The 14,304-nt window shown below is 38.9% G+C and overlaps 1 protein-coding gene and 1 long non-coding RNA gene across 13 annotated transcripts in view; one reads left to right on the plus strand and one right to left on the minus strand.

The window, feature by feature from the left end:
* Nucleotides 1–14,304, minus strand: part of SAMD12 (sterile alpha motif domain containing 12) — a 490,139-nt gene that overhangs the window by 141,398 nt on the left and 334,437 nt on the right. The gene's annotated exons all lie outside the window — the stretch shown is intronic.
* Nucleotides 8,161–14,304, plus strand: part of LOC105375724 (uncharacterized) — a 141,651-nt gene continuing 135,507 nt past the window's right edge. For 2 of the 6 annotated variants that reach the window (XR_001746062.2, XR_007061073.1), the window contains exons 1-2: nucleotides 8,896–9,108; nucleotides 11,050–11,199. This is a non-coding gene — a long non-coding RNA (uncharacterized LOC105375724). Of the gene's footprint in view, nucleotides 8,248–8,895; nucleotides 9,109–11,049; nucleotides 11,200–11,291; nucleotides 11,506–14,304 lie in introns of those variants that run through there. The other 4 variants (XR_001746056.2, XR_001746057.2, XR_001746063.3 and 1 more) reach the window with 4 other exon arrangements.

Here is a 14,304-nt window from a genome sequence, read left to right on the forward strand (position 1 = left end):
TGGTGGTAGCAAGAAGTGCTGCACAAAGTCCCTTATAAAACCATCAACTCTTGTGAAACTCAGTCACTATTACGAGAACAGCATGAGGGTAACCACGCCCATGATTAAATTACCTCCCACCACATCCTTTCTATGGCACATGGAGATTATGGGAGCAAAAATTCAAGATGAGATTTGGATGGGGACACGGCCAAACCATATCAGGGAGTGAAACAAAAATAATTTTTGAAGATCTCTCATATGTCACTTGTGTAATAGCAGCTTTTATATAAGTTTCCCCACTGAATTTTATTTAAGAGAAAGATCCACAATAACAGACTGGACAAAGTAGCTGGTTAAACAGCTTAAGAGATGGGGGAAGGTACAGCTCAGAGTTCGGGAGACCCTCCCAGAGTGGCCCCATGATGAACTCTGAGACATTGGATAAGGATTGTTGTGAAACAGACTGTCAATACATGGCCTTAAAGGAAGGCAGGGCGGAGGGGTTGATTCAATCCAGTGAACATTCTGAACCCCAGCAACAGTGAGCTGTATTAGTGAGTACAGGCACACAGATGGGAAACTGGAGAACCTGCCTCAAGGAATGTATCCTGTGGAAATAGCATCATGGAAACAAGTACAGTCCTCAGGTAGGAACAGTTGTCTCCAGGAGATCAAGATAAAAGTAAAACAAGCAAGGCCTGGATCCATGACACTAAGAGTGGCTGTGATCTATCCAGTGTCTACTTTGTGCCCATCATTGCGCTGCACTCAACGTAAGGTATTGCATTTCTTAATCAATATTAGTTAATGTTTATTTGGTGCTCACTAAATTACAGGCTGATATCATTTTGTTTAATTTTTACTCCTGTAGTATGAGGCAGGTATTACATTTTCTGCTTTATAGACAAGGAAGTAGCTCAGGGAAGAAATTTGTAGATGACCAAGTTGAGCATATAGTTAAGAGTGCTGCATGACATGAACCTATGATTCCAGTATAAGTAAAAGTGTGGACACAGAAGAATGTGAAGAAAAATAAAATAGGAGAATTTGGTCAAATTCTTATTTGACCAAATAAGCACAAAAGGAAAATACTGAAGTCATTACTCTGTGAGGTTTCCTGCATATGGCTTTGGCAATTTTCGAGAAATGATGCTTTTGACAGAGAAATAGGACAACATATCAAGGAAGAATGTGTATTCCATCCACATTCATAATGATGTTTTGTTTTATACATTACGAAATGACAGACAATACAAAATGTAGAGTGTAGAGTCTAGCTAAGAACAATAAATGCCTGTGTATCTATTACGAGCTTAACATAGAGAAAACTGTATACAAGCCCTTCCCTGATTCCATCCCTCCCATGCTCTCCTCAGATGTAACCAAGACTTTGAATTTTGTGTTAATGATTTACTTTTCTTTACAATTTACATACATATATCTTTCCAAATATACATTAAAATGCTCCTATTTGTAAACTTTGTATATAAACTGCATATAAATGGAATGTTACAGTATGTGTATTCTGTGATTAGCTTTCTTGCTCCACAGTATTCATCCATGTGGACAAACACATAGATATGGTCCATTTGCTTTCCTCCTATATAGGAGGCCATTTTATAAAGACATCACAATTGATTTATCAATTCTAAGTCAAAGGATAATTGGGTAATTTTCAGTTTACAGCTATGAAAGTCAAAGTTGCTATGAATATTCTTGTGCATGTCTCCTGGTGTACAAGTTATGCTCTATCCCATGTTTCTATAGGCTAGAACTTCCAAAATTACACTGATATTATGCTATGTTGTGATAGCAAGCATCCTTGTTTTGTTCATAATTTTGAAGGGGCTTTTAAAAATATTTCACCATTGAGAGTGATGTTTGCTCTATGTCTATTGTAGACATACTTTATCAGGTTAAGGAAGTTCCAATCTATTCATAGTTTTGTTAAAAATTTATCATGAATGGTTGTAGAACTTTATAGAATAATTTTTTTATATTTATTGAGATTACACAGTTTTTCTCCTTTAGTAAGTTGATATGATGAACAATTTTCTAATTTTGTTTTCAGGGATAACCCCAAATTTAGCTCTATCAATTAAAAAACCAATTCTTAGGATGGCTTGTTAACATTCTGTTTACTTGTTAATGTTCTAAGTATTTGAATAATAGGTAATTTTATTTTCTTACACTGCTTGTGTTTAGTTTTGGATCCAAGGTTAATACTGCCCTTGTAAGATAAGTTTGGGGAAATTCTCTCTTTTTCTATTATCTAAAATAATTTACATGCTTTGGAATGGAATACTTGATAAAACTCACTCACATGCAAAAATCTGCTTTTTTAAAAAAGTAATTACAACTTTTATTTTAGATTCAGGAGGCACATGTGCAGGTTTGTTACATAGGTGTATTATGTGATACTGAGGTTTGAGATACAAATGATCTCATTACCCAGGTAGTGAGCACAGTATCCAACAGTTAATTTTTCAGTCTTTGACCCCATCCCTCTCTCTCCTCTCTAGTAATCCCCAATGTCCATTGTAGCCATTTCTATGTTCATGAGTACCCAGCATTTAGCTCCCACTTGGAAGTGAGAGCATGTGATATTTGGTTCTGTTCCTGCATTAATTTGCTTAGGATAATGGCCTCTAGCTACATCCATGTTGCTGCAAAGGACATGATTTCATTCTTTTTAATGGATGCAAAGTATTCCATGATGTATGTGTAACACATTTTCTTTATCCAATCCACCATTGATGGGCACCTATGTTAATGCCATGTCTTCACTATTGTAAGTAGTGCTGTGATGAACATGTGAGTGCATGTGTATACAAAATAGATTCTTCAACGTTTGTTGAAACCTTATGCTCCAGAACATGATTAATTTTTATAAAGTTTCTATGTCCCCCTCAGAGAAATAACTACACTCCAGTTGTTGGAATAGTGTTCCATATAAGGCCAACCTTCTTCCTTGCATTGTTCTAGATTTCTATATGCTACTAAAAACAAAAATTTCCTACTATATTTTAGAATTGTGCATTTCTGTATATGTTGTAATTTTGTTAATTTGTCTTAAATATTTGGAGCTATGTGATTCAGTACACATAAATTCAACATTATAGTTGCCTGAAGAATGTTAACTTTGAAGAAAACGCAGTACACTTCTTTTTCTCTAGTATACTACTTGTTGCCTTTAATTCTGTCTTTTGATATTATTATATTAAGGAAGGTTCTTCATTTTCTGGAATACAAAATTTCTACCCTTTAGGTTCAACCATTTTGTGTGTCCCATAAACAACATTTGGCTGGATTTTGTCTGATTGTGGATATGTGGGTTAATCTGGTTTGACAACTTTTGTCTTTTAATGGGAGAGGACAATAACAGTTGGATTGATTTTATTGACTGAAATATCTGGATTTGTTTTTACAACTTTTTTGTTTTGTAGTATTTGTTTCATTTTTCTATATTTCTTCTTGACTTCTTTTGAGACAGAGTCTTGCTTTGTCAACCATGCTGGAGTGCGGTGGTGTGATCTTAGCTCACTGTAACCTCTGCCTCCCAGGTTCAAGTGAGTTTCCTGCCTCAACTTCCCAATTAACTGGGATTACAGGTATGTGACAGCATGCCTGGCTAAGTTTTGTATTTTTAGTAGAGACAGGGTTTCGCCATGTTGACCAGGCTGGTCTCGAACTCCTGACCTCAGGTGATCCACCCACCTCGGCCTCCCAAAGTGCTGAGATTATAGGTGTGCGCCACTCACACACAGTTTCTTTCATGACTTTTTGAGCAGTTTTTGAAGTCTCTCTTTCTCCAGTTTTTTTTTCCACAAGCTTAGGAATTAGACTACAGGTACCCTCCACACCTGGAATCATGACAAACAAGCAGTCTGTGTTTTGTTTTGTTTTCCTAATTCACCTATTATATTTCACCCTTTGGACTCCTAGCTTTCTGGTTTTTTGTGAAGGACAGCTGATTCAATCTGCTATTCCACTCACCACCCAGGCCTTAACTCTGGTCCATCTCTCTCCCACATGGTGCATAGTTCGAGTTCAAAAACCTTGGTCACAAAATGCTAGTGCCAGTGTTTGTTATCTCCGTGAAGTAGAGATTTATGGATCCTTCCTGACTTGACTGTTCTATCTTTCTATCTATCTATCATCTATCTTTTATCATCATAGTCATCGTATCTATGGTCTAGCATATTTAAGTGCATACTGGAAGGGTTTTCTGTAAACGTCTTGTTATTCATCTTGCCAGAAACAGAAGACTATACTTTGGTTTTGATGCAATCATTTCCTTATGTAGTTTTAACAGGTTTATGCAGGCCTGGGACAAAGAGGAAAAAGTAATATATTTGATTTGTATGTCTCCTGAGTAAAAAAAAAAAAAAAGAAAGCAGAATTCTACTCTCAAATGATATTATTTAGGAATCAGGGAAACAAAAGGAATTAATCCTAAAAAATACTTTCTGTCCATTATGTATATAGTTTTCATATACTGACTTTATTTAATCCTTATAATAACTCCATGAAATAGTTATTACTACTACCATTTTATGGATGAGGTACCTGAGACTACATGTTGAGGTTATTACATTGCCCATCTAATTCCATAGTCACTGCCCTCTCTCCTAAATCAGGCTGTCTTTCACCAGATAGAGAGCTCTGAGTAATTCTTCTCAGAGCTGGGAAAAACAATCCTGGTTACTCTTTCATGGTAATTTCCACAGCAAACAATGTAGTTATTTACCCAGCACTGGTTAGAATTCTGCTAATTGGTAGCACACATTCTGTTAGCAAACATGGTAGCAAACTCCAGAAAGGGTCCAGATTGTGGGAAAACATAAACAGTGATAACACAAATGCTTTCAAAGCAAGCCTTTGTTTGGGTTCTAGTGGCAAGCAATTTTCATTAATTGTCATTTTTACTTTTGACCAAATATCTCAGATTTAACACTCTTTAAACCTGTGAGAGTAATTAAGTCTTTCATAAAAATCTCCTGACGTTGGTTCACATAGTAAATCTCATGAAGTTTGCCTATTTATGCAAGAGCCCATGTAGCCCTGCAGGCTGAGCCTAAACTGTTATTGAAGGTGACTACCTTGCCAATTCTCATGAACAACCCAAGAGTGCCACGGATAAGCTAACCTTATTTTATCACTGTGCTTTATCACTGACAAAGGGTTAAGAAAAAGACTCTCTTTTCTTCTCTTTCCACACGTCCTCCTTTCTGTAGCTGAATGTGAATATTTAAAGTGGATTCAAGAAAGCTTCAGCATCTGGGAAGCCTAGAGAACAAACCATAACCATGGACACGGGCCAGTTTTCACTGGTCATTGACTAGCTGCTGCTGTTAAGTACAGATTGGTCAGTTTCATTGGTCACTGACTATTTGCTGCTGTTAAGTGCTCACCAGTGGAACATAACCATTTCTGCTCAAAACCAGGTTGGAGTAACATACCTAGAGCCAGCCCACTCTCAAGCCATATGAGAAGGGGTTAGAGTTTGCATGACTAAAATTAAAGGGTCAGTAAACAAACATGCAAAACTAAGTTGGGCAAGTTTTCTATTTTGAGGCTTCATACATGATCAAAGAGACGAATATGGCAGTACAAAGCGAAGGGAAGTAAAGGTGCATTGTTTCCATTACACGTAGCCATGCGTATTTGCAAAGTGGCTCATATAAGATGTTGTCATACTCGAGGTGATAAAAGGCTCTAAATCCTTCTTTGTGTAAGGTTTGCCCCAAAATACAATTTAGAGAAAAAAGTATTAACATGCTTTCCCAATGGGCTTCCCTAGCTCTGCTATTAAAAATGAAATGGGTGTGTTTATATAATCTGGGCATTCAGGAAAAAAATTACACAATTCAGTGTAATTTCCCCAAAGGAGTTGAAGTTGAACAGAAACCAATTGCACATCTGGGTCTGGGGCTGCTTCAGCCTCCGATGCAAAAACGAAGATGAATTCCAAGTGGTCAAAAAGCTCAATTGCTCACCCCTGACAATTTTTCCCTTTGCTAGAATAGAAAGCATAACAATTATTTTTCTGAAATATAAATTACAATCAGGTGGTGTTTAGTTCTGCTACTTTAAAAACTTTCTACTGGTCAGGAAAGTAGTCTTATATTATTAATTGAATACACATGAAAAAAAAATACCCTAACACCTTCCCATGCTTTTTACTGGAATGGAAATCTAGATCAAACTTGGGTGTGCCTGGGTGTCTTTTAATATGAGGTAATGATCAGATATCACCATCTTCTCATTAATGTTTGTGATTAACATTAAGAAGACATGGTTACGTGAGAAGTGATGCAAATGCTGTATCTTTTAAAACTTTATTTGAATCACTCATTTCTGGCCCACATTTGAATTATGCTTTGAACTGTAGCCAGGAATACAGCTGTCACATACAGAACTGAAATCGTGAATATGCCCACCACTTCCTTGTTTTGACATTGTGGTGTGCATTGTCAGTGCTTTATATGCATAAGAGGAAATGAGTGAGAAGTCTATTTTCATGTTATAATCTGGACATGCATATTTGATGCATTATTGCTGATTTCTATGCAGCACAATCTTGTTTCCCATACATCTGAGATTTCAATGTTTCTTTTCAGGGCAAATTATGGGAGATGAACAGCCTGGCCCAGTGGGATTCACTTTACTGAAGAGGTAGTTGGTGAAGTAGGTCACTTGAGTTCAGACAACACACAAAAACACAGGACGCACATGCCCTATGTTGGCAAGTTTCTTGGTCTGCAAATGATTCCCTTCTAAAGAACACTACTGAGATTCAGAGTTGACTATTGCACGTTCTCTCCACTTACAAATGGGACTGGCAATTGTGAGCTTTTGGTGGTGGTGATGTGTAGGGAATTGGGAGACAGAGTCCAATAAATGCTTTTAAGATTTGTTCTACTGCAATTGCTCAGATAAAAGAACACCAGTAGCCATAACATTTTCTTTAGCTGACCAAGGAATTCCAAAAGCAAACCCCTGTGTAAATGATAGCATAATGTCCTTGTTCTTAGTCAAAATATTCTTTTTAGTCCAGTTGTTATTGTGTCACAGTAAATACAAAATATTCCCTTAGTGCCATTTTGTTGCCAAGCAATTTGGAGAGGAGCACAGTCACTCAAAGTGCACTGAACTTATCTGCAATCAGCTGCCTTGACCACTCTGTGCTACATGGGCAGGGATAAGCTTGAGTGTGAGATAGAATCAAGGACAAAGTTATCATCACTGATGCCTCCAGGGAGACTCTGTATTAATAGAAATATGGCGAAGGTGGCCTGAATGTTGCTGATAGTATTTAGTGAGCCATTAAATACTATCATACATGATACATGATAGTCCAGAGCCATGACTCTGGACTATCAAACTTAGGAGAAATAAAACAATGGTATATTACCTTCCAAAAGCAAGCTCCAGGCAGCAGCAAAAGGGAAGGAGAAAAGCATTCTTCAGAAATGAGAAACTGGTTTGAGCCTAGCTTCCAGGGAACACACATAGATGGTAATGATTTTCTCATTAGGCAACTGAGACTTTTCTCCACTTTATTACTATATATGCACTGGGCCTCCAGCATTTTGGTGGGGGAGCTTCTCTAGAAGTAAGAGTTCTTAATATTTGCAGGCTACGTCAGCCACCTGCATGGGGGCAGGTATCTCCATGCTTTCAGTTTAAGTGACCAGAGTGTATTCTGCGTCCTCAAGCGGAAATGGCAAGGCTGCCCTTTTTTGTCCCATATTAATGATGATATCCTAATCATAGTCTTCGTAGAATCTTAAGTTTACATGGACTCTTTATATTGTTAAAACTCATTCACATATTATCTGAATTCAATTTCAGAAACAGCTAGTTGTACTAGCAAGGAAAATATCATCATTTCTCTTTTAGAAATATGGAAACCGAGACACATTTTCCTAAAGTCAAAAAATTGTGTTATTCTGGAATTGAAAGGATCCTTAGATAACTCATTTTGGCCTTTAATTTCACAGATTAGGAAATAGAAAATGAGAACAATCACATGATGAGTAGTAAGAAGGAAAGAACTGAGATGCCATGAAGTCCAGAACCCAGCGCTCTTTGAAATTGTAGCAGTGCATGTGTCTAGTGGGGAGGAGATCCCCTTCCTTCGATGGCTTTTCCGTGTGCAGTGGCTCCGAGGGCCTGGAATGCAGATGCCATGAGACAGTGACTGTTTCCTTCTGGCTCACTCCTGACTTGTCATCTAACACAGTGCTGACTCCAGAACAGGTATACAATCAATATTTGCTGAATGAATGGATGACTTTTAATAGATATAGACATTTTTAGGAATAGGTCTGCTGACATTTGGCATAAAGTGACAATCCCTAGACCAGAAAGTAGTAGTGAGAATGTGTCATCTACATGCCAGTTTTCCCTTTAAATTGCATGATAAATCCAGAAGTTGCTCAAAACCTGCTTTTGTGTGGGCATGGGGAATAGTTCTAAACCAGGCTCTGAGACAAGATGGTAGAGTGCTGAGTAGCCTCAGTCATGGTCAAGTTAAATGCAGGTCCTCTACCAAGTATGATTCCAGGAATGGTTAAAAGCCCTTCTCCAATTTCTAAACTAACATGTCCTTTACCCTCTCCAAAATTTGCTCATTTATTTTCTTTACATTAAGATCTCTGGTTCTTACCAGTGGGTCATTTCAAACTCTATCTCTGCTTCCCCCAGCTAGGGATAGAAAGCCACTATTACAGACAGGGGCTGCATCCTTCAGGTGCTTTCTGCAGAAATGAGCTCAATAACCACTGAAGACAGATGTTAATGATGTCTGTTTTAAGGCAAATTATTTGGAGACGAGGGTAACCAAGTGGAGCTGAATGACACTGGATGGTAATAACTTAATTTGCCTCAGTGACAGTTCATCAGGTCCTTTCACTTCCATTTTCTCATCTGACCATCATGACCTTATGGTGTAAGTAAAAATGATTACTTCCCTTTTTTCTTTTCTTCAGAGGGGAAATCTGGGTTTGGAGCAGCTATACCATATATCTAAGGTCAAACACCTAAGAGGAACTTTTAACTTGGGTCATTTAAGTGCAAGTGCCTTGTTTTCGCCATTTTGCCAAGGACATGGGGCTCAAGGTAGGTAAAGGCTTTCTCCTTCTCAATGCTCTCGTATAGGCTGGTGTTGGTTGAAAGCTAAGCTCCAGCACCTGCCTATTCCTTCTGCAGTCCAAAGGAAGGGTAACTTCTGTGTAAACCCTACCTTCTGGTCTCCTGTAATTTATTTCTCTTGCTTTTCAAACACACAATATCTTGCTTTAAGCTTCAAGAAATTGTTGAAGTTGAAATTGCAATTAACCTCAGCAGTGAGTGCTGTAACTATAGGGGGGCTGGGGTGGTGGTGGTGGTGGTTATTCTTTATGAAATGAAAATGAACCTCAAATGTGATTGGAATTTGCTAAAACTGGACAGGGATCAGGATACAGATGCTTAAGTTGATACCATCCAGTTGTTCAGACTAGAAATACAGGGAAGATGTATAGGTTTTAAAGCAATTATGACATTTTATCACATAGACTGTTTTTATTAGCTGTGGTTCCCTGCAATCTTTTCATTTTAATTTTATATCAGCCATAATATTTATATATATGTATAGATATGTGTGTGTGTGTAGCTGTATGTATACATATGTATTTATTTATATTTTATTTTATTCCTTTAATTATATCATTTAAACCCAAATTAGACATTGGTAGAATGAACTTTACAATTGCTTTCATGGATTAAATACAGAAATAAGAAAAATTCCGATGGGCCTAGACATATCACAAATAAAATCTAGTTCTAAGTATAGTGGCATGTGGAATTTCACATGATCTCAATAGCTGACCAGGACTCACCGAGGAAAATACATAGTACTTCTCTGGTACTTTATTTTTTTAATTTTTTTTATTATACTTTAAGTTTTAGGGTACATGTGCACAACGTGCAGGTTTGTTACATATGTATACAAGGAAATATTGTTTCTTGACAAAACCAAAATACTGCTTTCCAGATTCATTTAGATCTTATTCCTAACGTATTAATGGCACCTTTTGGTCATATTCATCAATCAATGAATATGATCTGAACCTCTCCTATGAGGTCAGAGCAATTAGGCATGCATGAGATATAAAACCCAAGGCAACAGATTCTTATTTTCTAGGCACTTCTGAGCTAGTTTTAGAAGGGAGTACGTAGCCTTAATATTCCATTCCTTGCTGCCATGCCCAAGAGAGACACGACTAATCCATCACAGCATTCTTCCCACAAACTCTGTAAGTGGCCTTGTAATCCTCCTCTAATTGGCCATTCCCAATCTGAATCGGCACATAAGATGAAGCCATACCTGAACTAATTTGCAAGATAAAGCTAAACACAAGAGTGAGAACAAGCAAGTGCTCAACTCCAGGGAAGGGAGATCCATCCTGGGATCTGGTGATGAGCCTTCTGTAAAGAGGAAGGGCTTCTACTATGTCTTGTACCATGGCTAGAACTTAGGCAGATGGAGGGAAACAGAATGGGCAAAGACTTTAAAGAGCAAATGTATGCATAGAGGAGATTGAGCAGATGAATATGGGATTAAACAGGGGAACTTGGGCTTGAAGAGTAAGGTTCTATTCTCATTATTTAGGAGTTTCATTCAGAAACTTCACGTATTACAGCATGTTCCCATTCAAAAATACTAAGCGTGGAGAAATAATGGTTTCTGGTATATAGAAGTCCTCTGGCACCCTAGAATAAACTGTATCACATTCTAGAAGGTGTGTGGACTCATTTTCAAAGAGCAAAGATGACTCTGAGTCATAGCTTTCACGACAATAAAATGGATAAAATAAAGGTAACTTCCGAAGACTGCCAAATCTTCCTTCCACCAAGCTCATTAAATAATGCCCTTCCATGTATATTCTTTTGGATCCATTATGATAACCCCGATGGCCACTTTTTGCCCACCTTAATGATAAAATGAAGAAAGCTCCAGGTTTCTTGCATTTTTTAAAGGCAGATGAAACAATCAGCCAATCCCTTTGTCTTTTACAGTTTGGGTGTGCACCTGGCTTGCAGCAGAACTGGCTGGGATGGCTTCATAACTTCCCTTCTAACAATATAACAATATGCTTCTGTAAATTTTCACACTGAATTGGACAAGAATCAGAATATCCTGTTTTGAACATCTGCACAGATTGACAAGTGAGTGATTCTGCCTGCCTGATATATCCCTGTCCCCTTTAATCTTCATACACAAAGAATCTGAAATAGTCCCTCTTACTCTTTCCATCTAGACAAAAATGGAACATCAAGACTGACTGGAAATGGTGATGTGAAATTCATTAAATGCTCTTGCAATTGCCAGAGGTGACATATATACATACAGCATCATTGTTTTCTGGAAAATGGGCTACAGGAGAATCTTAAAGAAGCAGTGAATTGGCCGGGCACTGTGGCTCACGCCTGTAATCCCAGCACTTTGGGAGGCCAAGGCGGGCAGATCACGAGGTCAGGAGATCGAGACCATCCTGGCTAACACGGTGAAACCCTGTCTCTACTAAAAATACAAAAAATTAGCCAGGCGTGGTGGCGGGCGCCCGCAGTCCCAGCTACTCGGGAGGCTGAGGCAGGAGAATGGTGTGTACCCAGGAGGCGGAGCTTGCAGTGAGCAGACATGGCACCACTGCACCCCAGCCTGGGTGACACAGCAAGACTCCGTCTCAAAAAAAAAAAAAAAAAAAAAAGAAGAAGAAGCAGTGAATCAAAATTCATCTGTTGTTGGAAACTATATGGTCCCAGGCAGACAAATGACCCGGCCGAAGTTCCCTCTCATTTTTATACTCTGTTATATCCAGGCAGGCTCCTCCTGAGTCCCCATTCAACTTTTTTTTTTCTTTTTCTGCTCTTGGCCACGTTTTCTTTCTTTCTTTCTTTTTTTAATAGCCAGAAGAAAAAGCCTAGATTATGCATTACATGGGTGGAATTCTGGGTTGGATTTCCTAACTCTGAATGGTTTGTAAATCCATTTTACCCACACTGCACAGTGGGTACCCATGAGTCTGAAATCAACTTTCCGTGAGAGATCCAATAGTCCCTATGTTATAGTGATCATATAAACTTTGGAGACTATATAGGGATTTTTAAAATAAGAAATAGGTAAACAGAAAAAGCTAAATAATGCATATAGCAGTTTGAAGCTTTGTTATATTTAATAAAATATGAATGTTGTCATTAAAAAATAAGGAACTGATGCCATTTTCTCAGGTCACTGTGGCATCAACAGTCTTCCCTAAAATGACCTCTTTCCCACCCCACTGCCATCCCTTCAATGAACGCCCACTATTGTGCAACAGCACGCTTGAAAAACTCTTGCTTCAGATAATGTGGCATAGCACAAATGGACATGGGCTTTGGAAATAATGGGGCTCAGTTTCAATACCAGATCTGTCCTTTTCTAACTGTGTGACTTGGTTTTCTTTTCTGTAAGTTGGGGATAATAATTTAGCAATCTCATGGAGCTATTGAACAGACTGAATAGGATACTATATGTCCTGGACTTAGTCCAGTATCTGGTGCATGATGGGTGTACAGTAATTGGTAGCTATAAGTACTATAAAAGTCTGACCCTGTGAGAACCTTTGATACTTAGAGAAAGACCAAAGAGTTGGCTGGCTATCTAAGTGCCTTGCTGAGCCTGGTCAGGGAGAAGGGGTGAACATATATATAAGAAAATGTGGCACATATACACCATGGAATACTATGCAGCCATAAAAAATGATGAGTTCATGTCCTTTGTAGGGACATGGATGAAGCTGGAAACCATCATTCTTAGCAAATTATTGCAAGGACAAAAAGCCAAACACTGCATGTTCTCACTCATAGGTGGGAATTGAACAATGAGAACACTTGGACACAGGAAGGGGGACATCACACACCGGGGCCTGTTGTGGGGTGAGGGGAGGGGGGAGGGATAGCATTAGGAGATATACCTAACGTAAATGACGAGTTAATGGGGGCAGCACACCAACATGGCACATGTATACATATGTAACAAACCTGCATGTTGTGCACATGTACCCTAGAACTTAAAATATAATTAAAAAAAAAAGAAAGCAAGCTGTGTTGGGCACTTCTCTCTGAGATGCAGTTAGGGATGGCAATGCTTGTTTCTTTGTTGGGTCTTGTTCATCTCTGAGCATGGTTTGTTTCCTGTTTCTCAGCAATCTCTCTTCCTTCTTTCTTCTGAAATCCTTCCAACCTCTTTTTCTTTCCAGCATCTTAATAAAGCTAATAAAGGCTAACACTACCACTCCCTTAGCCTATTGAGATGAGAACATTTTCTTCGTTACCCCTGTGGCGATGTGTCATAAACTGGCAGGGTTCTCCATGCTCCCTTTAGCTGGGAAGCCAGCGTGGTAGGACCATGAAGCTTTGAATAGGGAGGGGATTGATCAGGGGAGGAAGAAAACAAGCATGAGAGGTAGCTGGATTCGTGTCTCTCCATCAACACCTATGTGCTAGTAGGACAAGGTAGATTCCATTGAGAATGGTAAAGGAGGTTTGGAGAAGTCAGGTTAAGGAAACAGTTTAAACGCCCACCACAGCATCTACATTTAGAATCAAAATTTGGTTTCTGTAATGGGAATTTCATCTGAAATCACAAATCTGTACCCATCATGTTGACTACATCTAGGAAAGTAGCCTGCTCTCATGTGCCTGAAGGTGCACTGAAGCACCTCACTCATTCCTGCCTTGTTCTAGCACGTACTATTCCTATGACCCTACACATTTTTTCTCAGCTGTAAAATTAAGTTGTTTTAAGATAATATATATATTTTGTGCCTGGAATGTAAGAAACAACAAACTTAGTACCTAGAAACAAGAAACTGAGTAAGGAAGAATATTTTTTTTTTTTTTTTTTTTGAGACGGAGTCTCGCTCTTTCGCCCAGGCCGGACTACAGTGGCTCTATCTCGGCTCACTGCAAGCTCCGCCTCCCGGGTTCAGGCCATTCTCCTGCCTCAGCCTTCCGAGTAGCTGGGACTACAGGCGCCCACCACTGCGCCCGGCTAATTTTTTTGTATTTTTAGTAGAGACGGGGTTTCACCGTGTTAGCCAGGATGGTCTTGATCTCCTGACCTCGTGATCCGCCCGCCTCGGCCTCCCAAAGGGCTGGAATTACAGGCGTGAGCCACCGCGCCCGGCCAGGAAGAATATTCTTTAAACCGACAGCAAAATGAAAAATAAGAAGTCCGAGCAAAGAGCTAGGGCGAGTAAAGGAAAATCTTTTATTGATAAAAATATTTGG

Source organism: Homo sapiens, chromosome 8, assembly GCF_000001405.40.
Source record: "Homo sapiens chromosome 8, GRCh38.p14 Primary Assembly".
NCBI classification, from domain to species: Eukaryota; Metazoa; Chordata; class Mammalia; order Primates; family Hominidae; genus Homo; species Homo sapiens.